The 18,675-nt window shown below is 54.5% G+C and overlaps 1 protein-coding gene across 10 annotated transcripts in view, besides 2 other annotated features; it reads right to left on the bottom strand.

Annotated features, from left to right (window-relative positions):
- Nucleotides 1-15,927, bottom strand: part of TRPM2 (transient receptor potential cation channel subfamily M member 2) — a 92,504-nt gene extending 76,577 nt beyond the window's left edge. For 9 of the 10 annotated variants that reach the window (NR_038257.2, XM_011529736.3, XM_017028457.3 and 6 more), the window contains exons 1-3: nucleotides 12,203-12,447; nucleotides 11,332-11,420; nucleotides 1,786-1,954 (exon numbers count right to left, since the gene is read on the bottom strand). Coding sequence is in view for 9 of the 10 variants with exons in the window: in XM_011529736.3 (XP_011528038.1) it covers nucleotides 1,786-1,954; nucleotides 11,332-11,420; nucleotides 12,203-12,367 (423 nt within the window). In the remaining variant the exon portion in view is untranslated. Of the gene's footprint in view, nucleotides 1-1,785; nucleotides 1,955-11,331; nucleotides 11,421-12,202; nucleotides 12,468-15,792 lie in introns of those variants that run through there. The other variant, NM_001433516.1, reaches the window with a different exon arrangement.
- Nucleotides 11,972-12,021: an enhancer, noted in NCBI's record as "active region_18572". NCBI's record gives its function as "activates an Ori minimal core promoter by ATAC-STARR-seq in GM12878 lymphoblastoid cells {active_cell/tissue: GM12878}" and the evidence as "EXISTENCE:reporter gene assay evidence [ECO:0000049][PMID:35858748]".
- Nucleotides 12,182-12,231: an enhancer, noted in NCBI's record as "active region_18571". NCBI's record gives its function as "activates an Ori minimal core promoter by ATAC-STARR-seq in GM12878 lymphoblastoid cells {active_cell/tissue: GM12878}" and the evidence as "EXISTENCE:reporter gene assay evidence [ECO:0000049][PMID:35858748]".

Below are 18,675 nucleotides of genomic sequence, written 5' to 3'. Positions count from 1 at the left end.
GAAGAGACCCAGCGGGGTCTGCAATCTCCGCCGGGATTGGCCTAGCAGAGACACAAAGGTGATGGGTGAAATCCAGAAATGCCATTAGGTGCCCTCAAAACAACCATGTGGTGGCATTGTCACTAAAGAAGGTCCAGTTAACCCACAAGCACAGTGCCTGTCACCATCAGAACGTGGGTCCCACCGGGTCCACCAGGCATCTGGAGGTGCTGGTCTCCCTGGGAGGAGCAGGGCTGTGGCCTGCATGGTGGACGCTCCCGGGCTTCGAGGCAGACCTGCTGCAGTACAGGGTCTGTGTCCCTGGCGTCCCTCACTGTCAGGCCACAGGCATTTCTCCCTCACACCACCGGCCCCTGTCGGCAGCTGCAGGGAGGGGGCTGGGAGAAGCCGGGGGGTTGGGGGAGGGATGCAGCCAGACCCCAGGCTCAGACACAGCTGGATTCAAACCCACCACTGCCACGGCCACGGTGGCATCAGACAAAGGGTAGGTAGGGCCTCCCCATACCTCAATCCCTCATCTGAAACCCAACAACAGGACTGTCCCCGTGACCACAGCGACAGAGGGGTCCAGGGGCCTGGAGAACACCCACGTGTCATGGTGACACAGGGTGGCTCAGGGGCTGTGCCAGCCAGGAAGCCTGGGGCCACATGACCCCGTCTCCGGGACCTGCCCCACTCAACCTCTTTGGCCACCTCATGGCAACACCATGCATTGAGTGGACAGGTCACACTCGACAGGTACCAAGTTCAGGGCTCCAGACGCCAGCACAGAGATCAGTGCCACCCTCCCCACCTCCAGGACAGTGGCACCCAATCACTGTCTCAGAACCCTCCAGAAGGCTGGTCAACACTCAAGTCTCAGAACCCTCCAGAAGGCTGGTCAACATGCAAGTCTCAGAACCCTCCAGAAGGCTGGTCAACACGCAAGTCTCAGAACCTCCAGAAGGCTGGTCAACACACAAGTCTCAGAACCCTCCAGAAGGCTGGTCAACACGCGAGTCTCAGAACCCTCCAGAAGGCTGGTCAACACGCGAGTCTCAGAACCCTCCAAAAGGCTGGTCAACACGCGAGTCTCAGAACCCTCCAGAAGGCTGGTCAACATGCAAGGGGCTGAGCCTCTGACTCCACAGGCCTGGGATGGGGCCTGAGAATTGGTCAGAGATGGCTGGTCCAGGGACCTCAGTGAGGTTGTGCACGAGAGAACCTAACCCTGCACCTGGGCCTCCCTCCAGCAGTCTGCACCCTCACAGCGCTCTCCTGCAGGCCAGGCTCAGCCTGGATCCCGCCATGCCTGGCCCAGACTCCTCGCAAGGACTCTCGCGTTTGCTTCCAGACTTGCCACATGGGCCTCCCTGCTATCCTGGGCCCCTTCCCCCAGCTTTTCCCTCCCTCCCCACACCCTTCCTACCATTCTCCCAGCACACCCTGAGCGCATCTGTGTCCTGCATCCCTCTCCTTCCTCCCTACTCCCTCCCAGGCCCTGACAAATGCCGCCCAAGGACACCCAGCCAGAATTCACTCACCACTCCCAGCTTGCACCTTCCTAGAAAGCTCACTGTGCCCCACCCTGCTTTGCAGATGGCCAAGCACTCTGAGAGTGGGGTGCATGTCTTGCTTGCCTTGCAGAGCCCCTCCCCGCCGCTTCCCTTGCTGTGCAGTGGGCTCTATGCACCCTGGAGCTTTGCCAGCCTCCTGCTCTTGCCCCAGGAAATGCCGACCACCGCGTGTCACTGTGGGGCCATGCAGCTCCACCTACAGTTCAGAGCGAGAGTGATGGAAACCAACCTTTTTCACCTTCTGGCTCAGGCCCGTGAAGACGATGTCGCCAAAGGCATCGGTTGGCATCTCCTGGACATGTTTCTTTGGGTCCCACTGTGTGCCCTGGAAGGTGTGGGGCTTGGTAGCCTCCTCCAAGTGCTGCTCATGCGTGTAGCCACACTGACACACCACCTTCCTGCAAAGACACAGCACCAGTCACCCAGGGAGTGTGGTGCCCTTCCTGCTCCCTGTGAAGGCATCAGAGGAGGCCCAGTGGAAAGCCGCAACCTTCCCCCACCCAGCAAAAACAAAGCACCTGCCCTTCCAGCCATGGGGGAGGCAGCAAAGGCCTAATGGTGGGCTGGAGCTCTTCTCACCCTCAGCAGTAACAAGAAGCCTCCCCAGGAAGTGTCAGTGGATCAGTGGAGGCTACAGGGGGGCTTAGACTTCACCCTTTGTGGGGCAGTGATGGGGGGACCTCCTTCCTTCACCATAGACATGTCAAGAGGACCAGCTAAAACTCAAGATCTTGAGTCTCTTAACATAAAATCTAAACTATCAAGGTTTCAATCAAACATCACTAGTTTTAACAAGAGACAGGAAAATCTCAACCAGGATGAAAAAAGACAGCTAACAGCCACCAACGCCAAGATGACACAGATGTTAGAATTATCTGAAAATGATTTTAAAGCAGCCACATTAGAAATGCTTCAACAAGCAATCATGAACATGCTCAAAACAAATGAAAAAATATAAATTTCCAGTAAAAAAAGAGAAGATATACCAAATGCAAACTTTAGAGCTGAAAAATGCAGTAACTGAAATAAAAAACTCAAAGGATGGACCTAACAGCAGGATGGAGGAGACAGAGGAAAGAACCCAGGAGCAGGAAGATATAACAGTAGAAATTGCCCAATAAGAACAACAGAGAGAAAACAAACAAACAACAACAAAGAAAAAATACACAAGTAAACAAAACCTCTGGGACCTGCAGCACTATAACAAAAGATCATACATTCATGCTCAGAGTTCCAGAAGGAAAAGAAAAAGACAGTGATCCTGAAAATGTATGTAAAGAAGTCATGGCCAAAATTTCCCATATTTGACAAAAAAGACATAAACCTACACACGCTACAATCTGAGTGAACACCAGACAGGATAAATCCAAAGAGATACATGCCAAGACACACAACAGTTAAACTTCCAAAAACTAAAAACAAATAAAAACTTTTAAAAGCGGCGAGGCGCAGTGGCTCACGCCTATAATCCCAGCCCTTTGGGAAGCTGAGGCAGGTGGATCACAAGGTCAGGAGTTCGAGACCAACATGGCCAACATGGTGAAACCCTGTCTCTACTAAAATCTAAAAAATCAGCTGGGCATGGTGGCAGCAGCCTGTAACCCCAGCCACTCGGGACGCTGAGGCAGGAGACTCGCTTGAACCCAGGAGATGGAAGTTGCAGTGAGCCCAGATGGTGCCACTGCACTCCAGCCTGGGAGACAGTGGGAGACTCCTCAAAAAAAACAAAAAAAACACCTCAGAAAAGACAGGAAGTTTGGACCTTCTTAATTGAAGGAAGGCTAGGGAATTTGTCACGAGCAGACACACCCTAAAAGAATGGCTAAAGGACATTCTCTAAACAGAAAGGAAACAAGAAAAGGAATTTTGAAATATCTGAAAGGAAGAAAGAATAACAAAAAGAGTAACCCCTTGAATTTCATAACTGATGTTTGATGGCTGAAGCAAAAATTATAACACTATCTGACATGGTTTTCTTTCTTTCTTTTTTTTTTTTCTTGAAATGGAATCTCGCTCTGTCACCCAGGCTAGAGTGCAGTGGCGCCGATCTTTGCTCACTGCAAGCTCCGCCTCCCAGGTTCACGCCACTCTCCCACCTCAACCTCCCAAGTAGCTGCGACCACAGGCGGCCATCACCACATCTGGCTTTTTTTTTTTTTTTTTGTATTTTTAGTAGAGACGGGGTTTCACCGTGTTAGCCAGGATGGTCTCCATCTCCTGACCTCGTGATCCGCCCACCTCAGCTTCCCAAAGTGCTGGGATTACAGGCTTAAGCCACCATGCCCGGCCCTCATTTCAATATATGTAGAAGAAATATTTCAAGCAATTATATTATAGATTAAGAAGGGGACAGAGATGTAAAAGGAGATAATGTTTCTATATTTCACTCAAACTGGTAAAATGTCAACATCAGCAGATTGTGATAAGCTGTATTATATAATATACTATCTAGAGCAACCCCTTTAAGAAAAAGTGATACAAGAAGATACACTCAAAAATAGTATGGTGTAAGCAGTGGCTCACGCCTGTAATCCGAACACTTTGGGAGGCCAAGGTGGGCAGATTGCTTGAGCTCAGGAGCTTGAGACCAGCCTGGCCAACATGGCCAAACCTTGTCTCTACCAAAAATACAAAAATTAACCGGGCATGGTGGTGCATGTCTGTAGTCCCAGCTATTCAGGAGACTGAGGTGGGAGGATCACCTGAGCCCAGCGAGGTGGAGGGTGTAATGAGCCGAGATCGTGCCACTGTACTCCAGCCTGGGCAACAGAGTGAGACTCTGTCTCCAAAAAACAAAAATAGTATGAATAATCAAAATAGAATTCTAAAAAATGTTCAAGTAACCCACAAGAAGGCAAAAAAAAAACACAGAACAAACAGAAAACAAAAAATAAAATGGCAGACATAAGCCCTAACATACCAATAATTACACTAAATATAAATTTTCTAAATATGACAATTAAAAAACAGATTGACAGAATGTATTTAAAAAAATAGGACCCAATTATTTGACGTCTACCAAAATCTCACTTGAAGTGTAATGACACAGGCAAGGCGAAAGGGAAAGGAATATTCAGCAGTTAAATAATGTTGACACAACGCCGAGTGTGGTAGCTCACACCTGTAATCCCAGCACTGTGGGAGGCCAAGGCGAGTGGATCATTTGAGGTCAGGAGTTCAAAGCCATCCTGGACAACATGGTGAAGCCCTGTCTCTACTGAAAATACAAAAATTAGCCAGGCGTGGTGGCGCATGCCTGTAGTCCCAGCTACTCCCAGTTGCCGGGAGGCGGAGGTTGCAGTAAGCTGAGATCGTGCCATTGCACTCCAGAGAATGAGACTCCATATCAAAAATAATAATAATAATAATATTGACACAAGCAGCAACTTGGATGGATATCAAGTGCGCTGTGCTGAGGGAAAAAGACACGGGTCATGTAGCGTATGATTCCATTGACGTAACATCCTTGAAATGACACAATGATAGGCATGAAGAAAGACTGGTGGTTGCAGGGATCAGGGATGATGGGGGAGAAGGTGAGCTGACCATACGGAGGAAGTACAGGAAGAGCTCGGTGGAGATGGACAGTGCTGTATCTTGACCACGGTGGTAGTTACACAAATACACATGTGAAAAATGACATAAGGCCAAGAGCGGTGGCTCACACCTGTAATCCCAGCACTTTGGGAGGCCGAGGCAGGCAGATCAGTTGAGGTCCCGAGTCCGAGACCAGCCTGACCAACATGGTGAAACCCCATCTCTACTAAAAATATAAACATTAGCTGGGCGTGGTAGTGCTCACCTGTAGTCCCAGCTACTCAGGAGGCTGAGGCAGGAGAATTGCTTGAACCCAGGAGGCGGAGATTGCAGTGAGCTGGTGTGGTGCCACTGCACTCCAGCCTGGGCAGCAGAGCAAAACTCCATCTCAAAAAAAAAAAAAAAAGACATAAAACTAAACACATGCATTCTACCAGCTTTAATTCCTGGCTTGGGTACTGTACTACAGTTATGCAGAATGTAGCCACAGGGGGAACCGTGGGGCCCTTCTGCAGTATCTTTGGAACTTCTGTACATCTGTAATTATTTCAAAATAAAAAGTTAAAAGCACACACAAATGGAGGCTCCAAGCAGACGACATGGGGCTAGCACCTCGCCCAAGGTCTCCCACCTCCTCCCCTCGCCTGGGGACGGCAGGAGCTGCCCGAGTCGCCAGCCTTCAGGACCTGCTACTCTGCCTCCTCCCCTTCCTCTGGCAAGAATGCGGCAATCTCTTTCTTCAACTGCTAACTTCCCTCTTTTTTCTTTGTGGGTTGAAGTCTTTTTTTGCTTTACTGCAATTCATTGGTGTTTCAGGGCAAGAAGAGATAAATTTATGTGTTCTTTGTAACTTGTTTAATTGGAAATCCACCATATTTTTAGATTCCAATTTTTTGCTGGTAACAAATAACCTAGAAAAGTTCAGATGAGGCTGGGCATGGTGCCTCATGCCTGTAATCCCAGCACTTTGGGAGGCTGAGGTGGGCGGGTCACAACATCAAGAGTTCGAGACCAGCCTGGCTAATATGGTGAAACCCTGTCTCTACTAAAAATACAAAAATTAGCCAGGTGTGATGGTGCACAGCTGTAGTCCCCGCTACTCAGGAGGCTGAGGCAGGAGAATCGCTTGAGCCCGGGAGGTGGAGGTTGCAGTGAGCCAAGATCAGGCCATTGCACTCCAGCCTGGGTGACAGAGCAAGACTCCGTCTCAAAAAAAATATATATATATATACATATATATGTGTATATATATACACAGATGAGACAGGAAAAAAATGGACCAATCAGTGCTCTGTAAAATGGACCAATCAGCGCTCTGTAAAATGGACCAATCAGCAGGACATGGGCGGGGACAAATAAGGGAATTAAAAAAAAACAAACAAAAAAACTCTAAAACCAGATGAAACCTGAACCAGATGGCACAGGGGAAAGACCACTGAGCAGTGAGAAAGGAAACAGGTTTCCCCGCCACGTATTGACTGTGTGATCTCGGATGTTTCTACACTCAGTTTCTCAATCATTAAAATGGAAAAAATAATTCCTCCCGGATGTGCACCCTACAAATCCAAATCCGTACAAACCCCTAAGGTCACGCTCAAGGCACTTCAGACTTGCAGGGATCTTGCGAGCACCTGATGTTGAGAGGTGAAGCCAGCTAGACTTCTGGGTTGGGTGCGGACTTGGAGAACTTTTCTGTCTTACAAGAGGATTGTAAAATGCGCCAATCAGCACACCATAAAATGGACCAATTGGTGCTCTGTAAAATGGACCAATCCGCACACTGTAAAATGGACCAAGCCATGCTCTGTAAAATGGACCAATCAGCACACTGTAAAATGGACCAAGCAGTGCTCTGTAAAATGGACCAATCAGCACACTGTAAAATGGACCAAGCAGTGCTCTGTAAAATGGACCAATCAGCGCTCTGTAAAATGGACCAATCAGCAGGACACGGGCGGGGACAAATAAGGGAATAAAAGCTGGCCACCCCTCCAGCCAGCAGCGGCAAACTGCTCGGGTCCCCTTTCACGCTGAGGAGTCTTTGTTCTTTCGCTCTTCACAATATATCTTGCTGCTGCTCACTCTTTGGGTCCCTGCCATCTTCAAGAGCTGTGACACTCACCGCGAAGGTCCCCGGCTTCACTCTTGAAGTCAGCGAGACCAAGACCCCCGGGAAGGAACCAACTCCGGACACAATGTGACCTCCACTGTTTATGGATGAGAGACCTGGGTCGGAGGTGGGGAAAGGAGTTCCCTAGACAAGGACCTGAGCTCTCCCGTCTTGCTCCAATGCTGCCCCAAATGTCCTTGTATGTTCCTAACAGCCTATCACAAGCTACCTCCTGTCCCTCTTGTCCTTGAACGATCACCTCTGATGAGATTGGAACTTGAACCTGCATGGCGTTTGCAAGCCTGATGTGATGCTGGAAACTGCATTGCGGACACTGATCCAGAAATTACATCGCCGGAGAGCTCGCTCGGAACTCGGCCCAGATAGGCGTAAACGGGACACCACCCCCGGCACCCCACGGGAAATGAGAGCTCTTGGAGGTGTATTCTCTCCAACCTGGGCTCCTTCCTGCCACCCAAGGGGGGCTCCCTGCCTCCCCACCCCCACCGCATGTGCGCGTGAATTCTGAGGCATCCCCTCCAGTCTCTGCGCTCACAGATGAGGATTGGTGGCCCAGGGAAGAGAAGTCATCTGCCCAAGGTCATGAGATCCATGGTGGCAAAATGTGAGCACAAAGGTCTGGACCAGGGTGGCCACAGCAGACACGGAAATGAGACGAGTCTGTGCAGAGCTGAGGAGGGTTACCAGGACGTGGGGCTAAGCAGTGGGATTACCCGGGCGGGTGTCGAGGGGCTCCAGGTCTGGACGAGTGGGGTAGGAAGACCCTACCATGCTTAATGGAAACATGTAAGTGGTATAAATAAATCTGCTTGAAAAGCTGTGTTTGTGGCAGACGATGCTCACCACTCGTTCCGCCCTGGTCTTTCCACAAGAAGGAGGGACATTCCATCCACTCCTCAGGAAGGAACAGCCAGGAACACACCTGGTCCCTCTTCCCATCCTGCTGCAGTGACCACCGTGGTTGGTGAGATGAGAGCGGCTTCTGTGCGGGACAGACTCGGTGCAGCAGATCTCAGGTTGCCTTCTCAGAGGGGCCTGCTTTCAAGGTGGTGTCTGGGAACGGGGCTTTTGGAGCGTCTCTCCGTCCCCTGACTGCTAGGAGTGCTTTGCCGGGCCTGGACTGTTCCTGCAATGGGTTTGTGCTGAACAGCTGCTTTCCTGCTGGGAGTCTGGGATTTGGGTGGTTGCCATGCAGAGGGGCCCACGTGGCCAGCGCAGGATGCACGCCCTGGGCTCTGAGCCTCGAATGGGCTTTGCAGGTGGCCACGTGCTTCTCGGCTAGAGGAAGGAGCATGCATGGCGCCTGCACAGGAGAGCCGCAGCAGCCTGCCCTCAGATTCTCCAGACTCGGCCTGTGTCTTTCTCCCTTGCCAAGCCCATCACGTAGGCCTTCACCATGATAAACCTTAGCTGTGTGCACAGCTGTGAGTCCTAGCAAACCCCTGAGCATGGGGGATGGCTTTGGGGACCTCCAGAAGCAAGTCTGTCCTGCTTACATCTGATCCAGGTCAGCACCCCTTCCTCTCTGGGCCCTGCTGCCCCAAGGGTTTCCACTTCCATGTGAGAAGCACGCAGAGCCGACTGGCAGAGGCCCCAGACCCACGGGGCCTCACCTAGGCTTCTCAGGACACAGCAGGTCAGGGTGTCAGCGGCGTTCAAACCAGAGTGAGTCCCATCTTGAATAGGCGCTGGGTGAAATGAGGCTGAAACCTGCTGGGCTGCCTTCCCAGACGGTTAAGGCATTCTAAGTCACAGGATGAGACAAGAGGTCAGCAGAAGACACAGGTCACAAAGACCCTGCTGATAAAACAGGGTGCAAGACACTGGGTAAAACCCACCAAAACCAAGATGGCGACGAAAGTGGGCTCTGGTTATCCTCGCTGCCCATTACACGCTAATTATAACATATTAACATGTAAGAGACACTCCCACCAGCACCATGACAGTTGGCAGATGCCATGGCAACATCAGAAATACCCTGTATGGTCTGAAAGAAAGAGGAAATCAGTTCTGGGAAATCCCCGCTCCTTTCCCATAAAACTCATGAATAATCCACCCTTGTTAAGCACATGATCCAAAACTACCATAAAAATAGCCAACCAGCCAAGCACGGTGGCTTATGCCTGAAATCCCAGCACTTTGGGAGGCCAAGGCTGGTGGATCACCTGAGGTCAGGAGTTCCAGACCAGCCTGGCCAACATGGTGAATCGCATGAACCTGGGAGACGAAGGTTGCAGCGAGCCAAGATCATGCCATTGCACTCCAGCCTGGGCGACAGAGCGAGACCCCGTCTCAAAAAAAAAAAAAAAAAATAGCCAAGCAGCAGCCCTCAGGGCTGCTCTGCCTATGGAGAAGCCATTCTTTTATTCCTTTACATTGTTAATAACTTGCTTTCACTTTACTCTGTGGACTCGCTCCAAATACTTTCTCGTGTGAGATCCAAGAACCCGCCCTTGGGGTCTGGATCGGGACCCCTTTCCAGTAACAAGGGTGAGCTCCGAGGCTGGAGTACCACTGCTCTACAGACCCCGCTCCTTCCACATGGGGCTCTTCATCACTGTCTCTACATCCAGCCCTCCATGGCCGCGAGTTTTGCATCTGCAGATTCAGCCAAACGCAGACTAAAAATATTCAGGAAAAAAAAAACAATTAAAAATAACATAGCCAGATGCAGTGGCTCACGCCTGTAATCCCAGCACTTTGGGAGGCCGAGGCGGGTGGATCACCTGCCTCGGCCTCCCAAAGTGCTGGGATTACAGGCGTGAGCCACCGCGCCCGGCCCAAAAATACAAATTTTTTAAATGCAGTATAACTATTTTTATAACATCTACATTGTATCAGGTATTATAAGTAATCTAGAGATGATTTAAAGTATGCTGAAGGATGTACATAGTTTATATGCAAATACCACACCATCTCATATCAGTGACTTGATATGAGATTTTGGGACTGATACGAGATATGGGATTTTGGTGTCCGTGGGTGTCCGGGAACAATTCCCCAGGGATGCGGAGGGACAGCTGTTGTATTGGTGACCGTGAAACTCTGATGATGTACCGAGTACACTAGAGGTACCCTGGGGCAACACAGTCTTCTTCTATTTCCCAAGCACAGGATGCTTCTCCCTCCCCATATTCAGTAAATATGAGCTGAAGGCCACTCTCTGGGAATTAACACAACACTCTGCTTTCGTCCCAGCCCCCCAGAAGCTCAGCAGCTAGCAAGAAAGATGAACACAAAGCCACACAGTTACAGCACGACAGCTGGGATCAAAGAGAAACACACGGTGCGGTAGGAGGGAAGCTCACTTCCTGGTAGAGGTTGTATAGTCACGGAAGGCTGCACGGCAGAGGCAGCATCTGCAATAGGCCTTGAGGGATAAGTAGGAGCTCACCAGGCAATGGAGTAAAAGGAGGAAGCGTGTGGCCCATTTGTGGAAGAGCATGAAATGGGTGTTGCTCGGGGAGGGCACACAAACATGAATCAACACTCTGTCCGTGCCTAAAGGGGCGCCAACTGCGGGGAGCACCATCGGCTCCGGAGGGCCATATCCAGCCACTCAGAGACAGTGGCCATGTTGCCTGGGCGGGGGTCTTGGCCACACCTGAGTCGTGGGCTCTGTGGGGAGGAGGGGCAAAGGGGGCTCTGTGGGGCCTGGGGGCAAGTCGGGCCTCTGGCTTTGGCAAGCTGTGCAGGGGGGCAGTCTTCTGGCCATGGACTCTCCCTAAGGCCCTTCCAGTTCCTGGACCCTGGGACTCTCTCTCTTGGGGTGGGGGCAGGTGTGGAAATGAGAGGATTAGAGGATGCATCTGTGTTCACACCACTGGGCCTCGCCGCGCGACAGTGCCCTTATGACCCTGAACAAGTCACCTAAACTCTGCACTTTGGTCCCTGCACCTGCGAGGCAGGATGAGGGTCAACTGTCCCCGACAGGAGGCTTGCAAGGGTTAGGTGGAAATGCTCTGTGGACTCTAAGCCTCGTATGGAGACAGAGGTATCTCCAGTGACCCTTCACTGAGGCCCTGAGGGGTCTTGGCCTGATCAGCTACTCCATGTGGGATCGGAAGGAAGAAGTCAGAGGTCTTACACACAAATCACGTCACTTACCCAGCATCAGACAGTTTGGAACTTTCCACAAAATACACGCATTCTTTCTTCTTGATGTTTTCAGGAATCCACGAACTGAGGCTTTCTTGCTGAAGGTAAAGACAGCACACTGAGATCTTCCAACATTCGAAAGAGCACACCCAGCCCCCTGGAGACACATCTGAGCTCCTTGAGGAGCTTTCACACTATTTGCTTGAAGGAAGGAAGCCTGCGCGACCCTGAGCCAAAGATTAGAAGCACCTTGCCAAGACTCTCCGGTGGGGATTCAGGAGGGAGGAATGAATCTAAGAAATCATTTCCTCTTGGGACCATTTTGAATGTGCGCGCACTTTACAGTTTCTACAGCACCACCACCTTCCTTGGGAACAACATGGTGTGGTGGAAAACGTGGAGGCTGGGGATCTGGGGACCTGGATCTTGCACCATCGGAAAAAGGGCAGCCACCCTCCTGCCTGCCTGGCAAGGGGACTGCAAGATGCCATGTGCTTTCAACATACTTGTGTCTTTGTATCCAGGGCTTTGGGGAAAGCTAGCCCAGGCCCAGGCCCTCCCAATCGGATAAAGGATGTGAAATCATTATGCAACAAGGTAAGCACGGGTAACAGATTTCCAGGACTCTAGCGCAACATTTTTGAGTTAACCCGGTGATTTCCCAATCAGACCAACCATGGGAAATGGTCATGCAACCCACAGAAGACGAGACACGCATCACCCTCCCCAGTTCTGTTCTCCCAAAGGTATGGTTGGGCAGGAGCCCCCAAGGTCAGCAGACCCTTTCCCACCCCCGTCGTCACAGCCTCAAGCTATGACCTGCCCAACGGTGACCTCCGTGGCCACGTGCCAACTGCAGGCTGACCAGCAGAAAGCCTACCTTGTCATTGTTGCCGAAGGGGCACTGTAGCCTCCAGCTCTTGAAGAGGCTGCTGTTGCTGCGCCGGAGATTGGAGACCATCCCCAGGTCAGTGACCCTTCTGGGCAGCCCCTCAAAGCCCTCCTCCTGCTCCGAGCCAGCTTTCCTCAGGGCTGAGGGCTCCATTCTGAGACCCCCACGCCAGCTGCAACCAGGCCTGCTGCCCTCAGGACAGTCCTCTCTCCAGCTCGCTACACTGGGGTTCTAGAGACACATGGGGTGGTTGCTGAAATAGATCAGAGACAGGAAGATGAGGCTGATGTTCTGAGAGGACCTGGCCACATGCTTCCTCATGTGAAGCCCTCATCCGGTTCTCTTCATCAGCCTGCACATGTTCCCAGCTGCCTGAGCTGTGTCCCTTGGCTGGGGCCCCCGGACACTCTGGGGGAGTACATGCACATGCGGGGGTCCCAGCGGCCGTTCATAATGGTAACAACCTCAGGTGACTGCAGGGCCAGAGAAAGAGCTCCCTCCCCCACGGGTGCAGCTGCACTGAGCACCGCACAGGGAAGTCTCCACCGCCAGCACCAGCTGCCAGCGACATGGTTTCGCAACTGTACAATTCTGCACAGCTCCTGCTTCCAGACACCAGTGACTACTTTCATATTCCAAAATTTTTTTAAATAGCCCTCACTGTCCACAAAGGAAGTTTCTTTTTCTTCTTGTTTTTTGAGACGGAGTCCCACTTTGTCGCTCAGGCTGGAGTTCAGTGACGCAGTCTCGGCTCACTGCAACCTCGGTCTCCCTGGTTCAAGTGATTCTCCTGCCTTAGCCTCCCCAGTAGCTGGGATTATGGGCGCCAATCACCACACCCTGCTAATTTTTTTTGTATGTAGTAGCAACAGGGTTTCACCATGTTGGTCAGGTTGGTCTCAAACTCCTGACCTCAGGCGATCCACCAGCCTCCGCTTCCCAAAGTGCTGGTTTTACAGGCGTGAGCCACTGTGCCCAGCCTAGAAAGGAAGTTTTGGGGAGTACCACATCTCTCCACTCCAGGAAAAAGACAATAATTCAAATGAATCTTTTTCTCTCATATCCTTTCCCCCTGGCTCTGATGTGGCCTTCATCACCGAGGCCACAAGAAGCCACCGGATGACTGCCCTCCCTTTACAAATGAGAAACATAAGCATGTTCAAGCCCTGCGGGGCCTCCCTGAGTCCCTGACACCCACAGTGTTCTCATGAGGTCATCCATGGTCATCCCCTGCCACTGCCCCAAAGGTGTCAAGGGGAGGGTTGCTGGGATGCAAAAGATCTGACTGGAATCCCCCCTCATCCCTGCCCTGAAACCAGATCTCTGGCCACGTCCTCTCCACTACACACGACGGTCACTGTCAGACAAGCCTTTGCTCTGCCGTCCCCTCATCACATTAGGTGACTGAGCCCCTCTTCGGGGCCACGCAGCTCGAAGCTCGGTGCCGGGCTCTTGGGGCTGAGCTACGGGCTGCTGTCCTGGGGCGGGCACTCTCAGGCAACCCCACCTCCCCCTCTCCCTCCTCCCCTTTGCCCCTTGGCCACACTCATTCCGAGACCCGTAAACTTCACTGGCAGGATGGCAGGGGTGCCCTGCCCGGCCTTTTCCTGCAGTTCTCAGAGCAGATGTTGTGCCGCATGCCAGTGGGGTCTTTCCAGGGCCATGAGCTGTCCCCGCAGCCACTGGCCCGGCTTCACAACCAGCTTCCGAGGGAAGCAGAGGGGCAGAGATGTCCCCAGTGGCAGGAGGAAGAGGAGGCTCTAGAGAGATCGCAGTGGCACCGCAAGGGGACCCAGACTGCAGGTGGCTCCCCAGGCAGGCGGTCCACCCTGCACGGGATGAGGATGGCTCCACGCTGGAAACGAAGACCCCAGCATCAGACGGGAGGGTCCACGGTGTGGGACTCTCTGCCTTAAGACCAGCATGTTCTGTTCACACGCTCATCTTTCAGGCAGCTGTCCACCTCAGCACAGCCCCTGGGGTCTTGTGCAGGTTCCTCTAATCCCAGAGGCAAGCAGGCCCTGGGAAGCAGGTCAGACCTGCTCCAGCACCACCCGACTTTGCAGGAGGCAGCCAGGAGCCCCTGTGAGCATCTGATGCCCGCTGTGGGGGGGCCAATGGCTCGACCCAGTGCCCAACAGGACGGGTGCCTCAGCCTCAGCCCAGGGGTGCAGAACCCTGAAAACCCAGGCCTGGCAACGACCTTCCAAGGGCCCATCCAGCCCTTTCTGGGGTTCTTCTACCCAAAATTACAGGCTCAATCCCTTTCTCACAAGTCACCTGAGAACAGCTTGGGCCACCCTGGTTCACAGCTAAAATTCTCCACAAGCAACTGGCACAGGTGTGAGTGTTGAGAGCACTCAGGAAATGAGCTTCCAGAAGACAGATGCATGAAGCAGGCCTGAGCAAGGCAAGGCCCCATGTGGGTGGATTTCCAAACCCAAGCCCTGCACAGAGCTATTCCCGGAGAAAGGGGGCAGTGGAGCCCCAGGGAGTGTGGGTTGGGGCAGCATTCCCTACCCTTCAGGGTTAGCCACTGAGCAGCCCCTCCCTCAGCCCCGGGGGTCCCGCATGGCAGGGGTGGCAGCGGGAAGACCACTACCACCATCACCTAGGCCGAATTCAAGAAGACTCGTTGGCACGCGAGCCCAGGACCAGGCGACTCGAGAGGATCCTGGTGTGCCCACCCGCCCCCAGCCAGCCCAGCCCAGCCCAGCAGATTCCCCGGGGAAATGGAAGGTTCTGTCTGGGCAGGGCGGGCCTCTGGCACCAGCAGGACTGGGACAGGCGCGCCCTGCACTCCCTCGGTACACCGTGTGGCCTCCCTGCCCTCTCTGGAGGTTGCTCGGGCATCTTCTGAAATCCCCGCGTGAAAGCCAGCGCTTCGGAGACTGGGCAGGCAGAGGCGGGTGCGGGGACGGAGGAAGTAAGCGCCCCAGAAGCGGGGCCTGCTGTCCCGGCGGACGGGCAGGGGCACGAGGACGGCTGAGTCCCTCATCCCCGGGTCCCCTCGCGCCAGCCGGACAGGGTCGCTCCAGCGGCAAGGCGTCCCGCAGACAGACCGCACCCGGCTCCCAGTCAGCGCCCCGCGCCTCTGCGCACACTGGGTGCTCCAGTCCGCGCCCCGAACCCCACCGGTGCCCCTGCACCAGCGCCCCGAACCCCGCCCGCCCCTGCACCCCACCGCACCCTGCACCAGTGCCCGGAGCCCCTTCGCGCCCCTGCACCCCACCGCGCCCTGCACCAGCGCCTCGAGCCCCACCCGCGCCCCTGCACCCCGCCGTGCCCTGCACCAGCGCCCCGAACCCCGCCTGCGCCCTTGCACCCCACCGCGCCCTGCACCAGCGCCCCGAACCCCGCCTGCGCCCCTGCACCCCACCGCGCCCCTGCATTCCGCCGCGCCCTGCAGCAGCACCGGGGCCGGCCGCCTCGGTCCCCGCACCCCGCACCCCTGCACGCACTCGGCACCCCGATCCGCGCCCTTGCACCCCGCCTCAACCTTCACAAGCTCCCGGGACGGCCGCCTCAGTCCCCGCACCCGGGCTCGCGCCCTCGCCCCGGCCCCGGCGGGCACCTACCTGCTCGGAGCCGCCCGCGCCCCGGCGTCACCCGCGTCCCCGCGCAGCACCGCCGCCCTGGCCCCGCGGGGCCATCCACATCTCGCCCGAGCGTGCGCCGCGTGCCCGGTGCAGTGGAGCCGCCCGCAGCGCTCTGCGTCACTCAGCCCGGAGAGCGTCTCCCGCGCCGCGTCCCGCGCCCGCAGCTAGAGCCAAGGACACGCCAGGGAAGGCTGGGCCCAGACACCCCGCCTGCGAGCCCGCCCTCCCCCAGAGACCTGGAACCGGACCCTCGCGCGGATGTGTGCCTTCGGAGGGTTGGGGGCACGTGTCTCCTTTTAAACCGGCGAGTGCCGCGATTATCTTTAAGCCCTGAATGGCCAACGGGAGCGGGAAAGGCAGGGCAGGAGTCGCAGGGGGACCTGGGCCTGAGTGAGACCCCCCCCACAACGAGACCCAGGACCCCCTTCTCGAAGACCTCTGCAGCCCCCTCCCCCAGCACCCCAGATGTGGCCCCAAGCCAGGGACCATTCCCAGTGAGAGAGGCAGGACCCCAAGGCTGGGGCAGGCTCAGGGCCTGCTCCCTGGATGTGTCACAGTGGAGGGGACAGGAACAGCCAGAAAGATCAAGCCCAGCAGTCCCCATCGCGGCAGGTGCTGGCCACGGGGCCCCATGGATGTCTAACTCCACCCTGTGTGCTGCCCACTCTCTGGCTTGGGGAGGGACGGGGACTGCCCTCTGATGCCTGAGAAGGCGAATGTGCCTTTCCCAAGTGACCCAGACGCCCTTTCACCCCACAAAGCCACACTGTCCGCCCCTTCCTTGCCACCAGCGGGCGATACCCGGCTGCCATTCCTGGGCCCTGCTGGCCTCCATGTCCAGGGAAGTGAAGAGGTCCTGTGGCCTCTGATCTGGGAGGAGGGAGGGTGCCCCCAGACTACTGCCTGACCCGCCACCCTCATTTCCTCCCTGGGTGTGCAGGCCTGCTGCCCAGACTACTGCCCAGAGCACACGCCTCTGGAAGGCCCTCCGCAGATGAGCCAGCCAGCGGTGCTGGCGCGCCCAAGGATGTCCACCATCTCACTAACCCACCATCCTGGTGCCTGCAAAGTGGTGGGAAGGCGGTCATAGCCCCTGGTGTAGGACAGCACTCAGGACACTGTCACCTCTTCAGGACACTGTGCTCTGCACAAGCATGGCCGGAAGCTGCCCTCCAGAGTGGCCAGCACGGTGTCCCCACACACCCGCAGCCGCGCCCTGCTGGACGGTACAGTCCTCCGCCCGGTCCACCCTGCAACTAGACACAGTGTCCCCACACACCCGCAGCTGCGCCCTGCTGGACGGTACAGTCCTCGCCCGGTCCACCCTGCAACTAGATGTGCTCGACGAGCACCCACTGCAGGAGTTGGGTCCTATCACAATCAGCAACACCCCCAGAGAGGTGTCTTAGAGCCCCCTTAACAGACAAAGGAGGTGAAGACGCCCTCCCTTTCACCCGCTCCATGTCAGCAGAGCCCCATCCAGTGCCCCTGCCCTGGGTGCTTTCTGGCTAGAGAGCCATCTCGTTAACTAAAAACATACCGCAAGGCAGTTAATATTTTATAAGACAGTCGTAACTGCAGAGCCATCTGCGAGAGGGGCTGGGCGCTTGTTTCCAAGTATCCCGGGGCCTCTGTGGGAACATCATTTAAGGTGAAGTAGGTACCAAGCTGACCATCTCTGATGAAACAGCCGGGCCCACATCGCCCTGGGAGCGGCTCCTGCCTTTCTAGAGAAGAACCGCACACTGCACGTCTGTCTGCCCGGACGCTGCTGCAGTAGCAATTACACGATATTCTTCCCATAAAAGAGAGGACACGCGACCATAAAACCCGATTGGCAGGTACCAATCTCCATGGAGAGTCCTCTCGAGTTCAGAGGAGAAAGCACTTGGCACAAAGTGTTTCTCACGGTGTGGGCACGAGGCCCAGGTAAAAAGGGCCCTGCTCTGGCAGCAGGAGGAAACCACAACTGGAGAAAAAGGCAGTGACAGGGCCGCAGGCACTGGCACACTCTGGTCCTGAGTGAGGCGCGGGAGCAGGTGACAGGCGGCGGGCTCCTCAGAGGACACTCCAGGAAGGAGGGAGGTCCCAGCTAGAGCAGGAGCAGCAAACTCTCTGCACAGGGCCGCATGGTCGCTGTGGCAGGCTTTGCCGGCCACGTGGTCTCTGTCCCAGCTCCTCGCCTCTGCCCTTGCAGTGGGAAGGCAGCCGTGGGCCATTCGGCTGACCCTGAACGACACGGGTTTCAGCTGCGGGGATCCACTTCTATGCAGATTTTCTTCCGCCTCTGCCACCCCTGAGATGCTAGACCACCCCCTCCTCCTCCCCCTTCTCCTACTCACAGGAAGACGGCAAGGCCTTTATGATGACCTGCTTCTACTTAATGTAAATATATTTTATCTTCGTTATGATTTTCTTAATAACATTTTCTTCTCTCTAGTTCCCTTTATTGTAGGAATACAGTTTATAATACAACATACAAAATATGTGTTGATGCTATCAGTAAGCCTTCCTTCTGGTCAATAGTGAGCTACTCATAGTTAAGTTTTGGAGGAGTCAAAAGTTATGCACAGATTTTCAACTTTAAGGGGTGTTGAAGCCCCCAACTCTTGAGTGGTTCGAGGATCAACTACATAAATGAATCAGTATGTTACGTGGATTGGCTCTGTGCCCCACCCAAATGTCATGTCAAATTGTAATCCCCAGGCCAGGCACAGTGGCTCACACCTGTAATCCCAGCACTTTGGGAGGCCGAGGCAGGCAGATCACTTGAGGTCAGGAGTTCAAGACCAGCCTTGTCCAATGGTGAAACCCCATCTCTACTAAAAATACAAAAATTAGCCAGGCGTGGTGGTGTGCGCC

This window comes from Homo sapiens, chromosome 21, assembly GCF_000001405.40.
Source record: "Homo sapiens chromosome 21, GRCh38.p14 Primary Assembly".
Classification (NCBI taxonomy): Eukaryota; Metazoa; Chordata; class Mammalia; order Primates; family Hominidae; genus Homo; species Homo sapiens.
The sequence above is the reverse complement of the archived record's forward strand: the minus strand, read 5'-3'. Positions and strand labels throughout refer to the sequence as shown.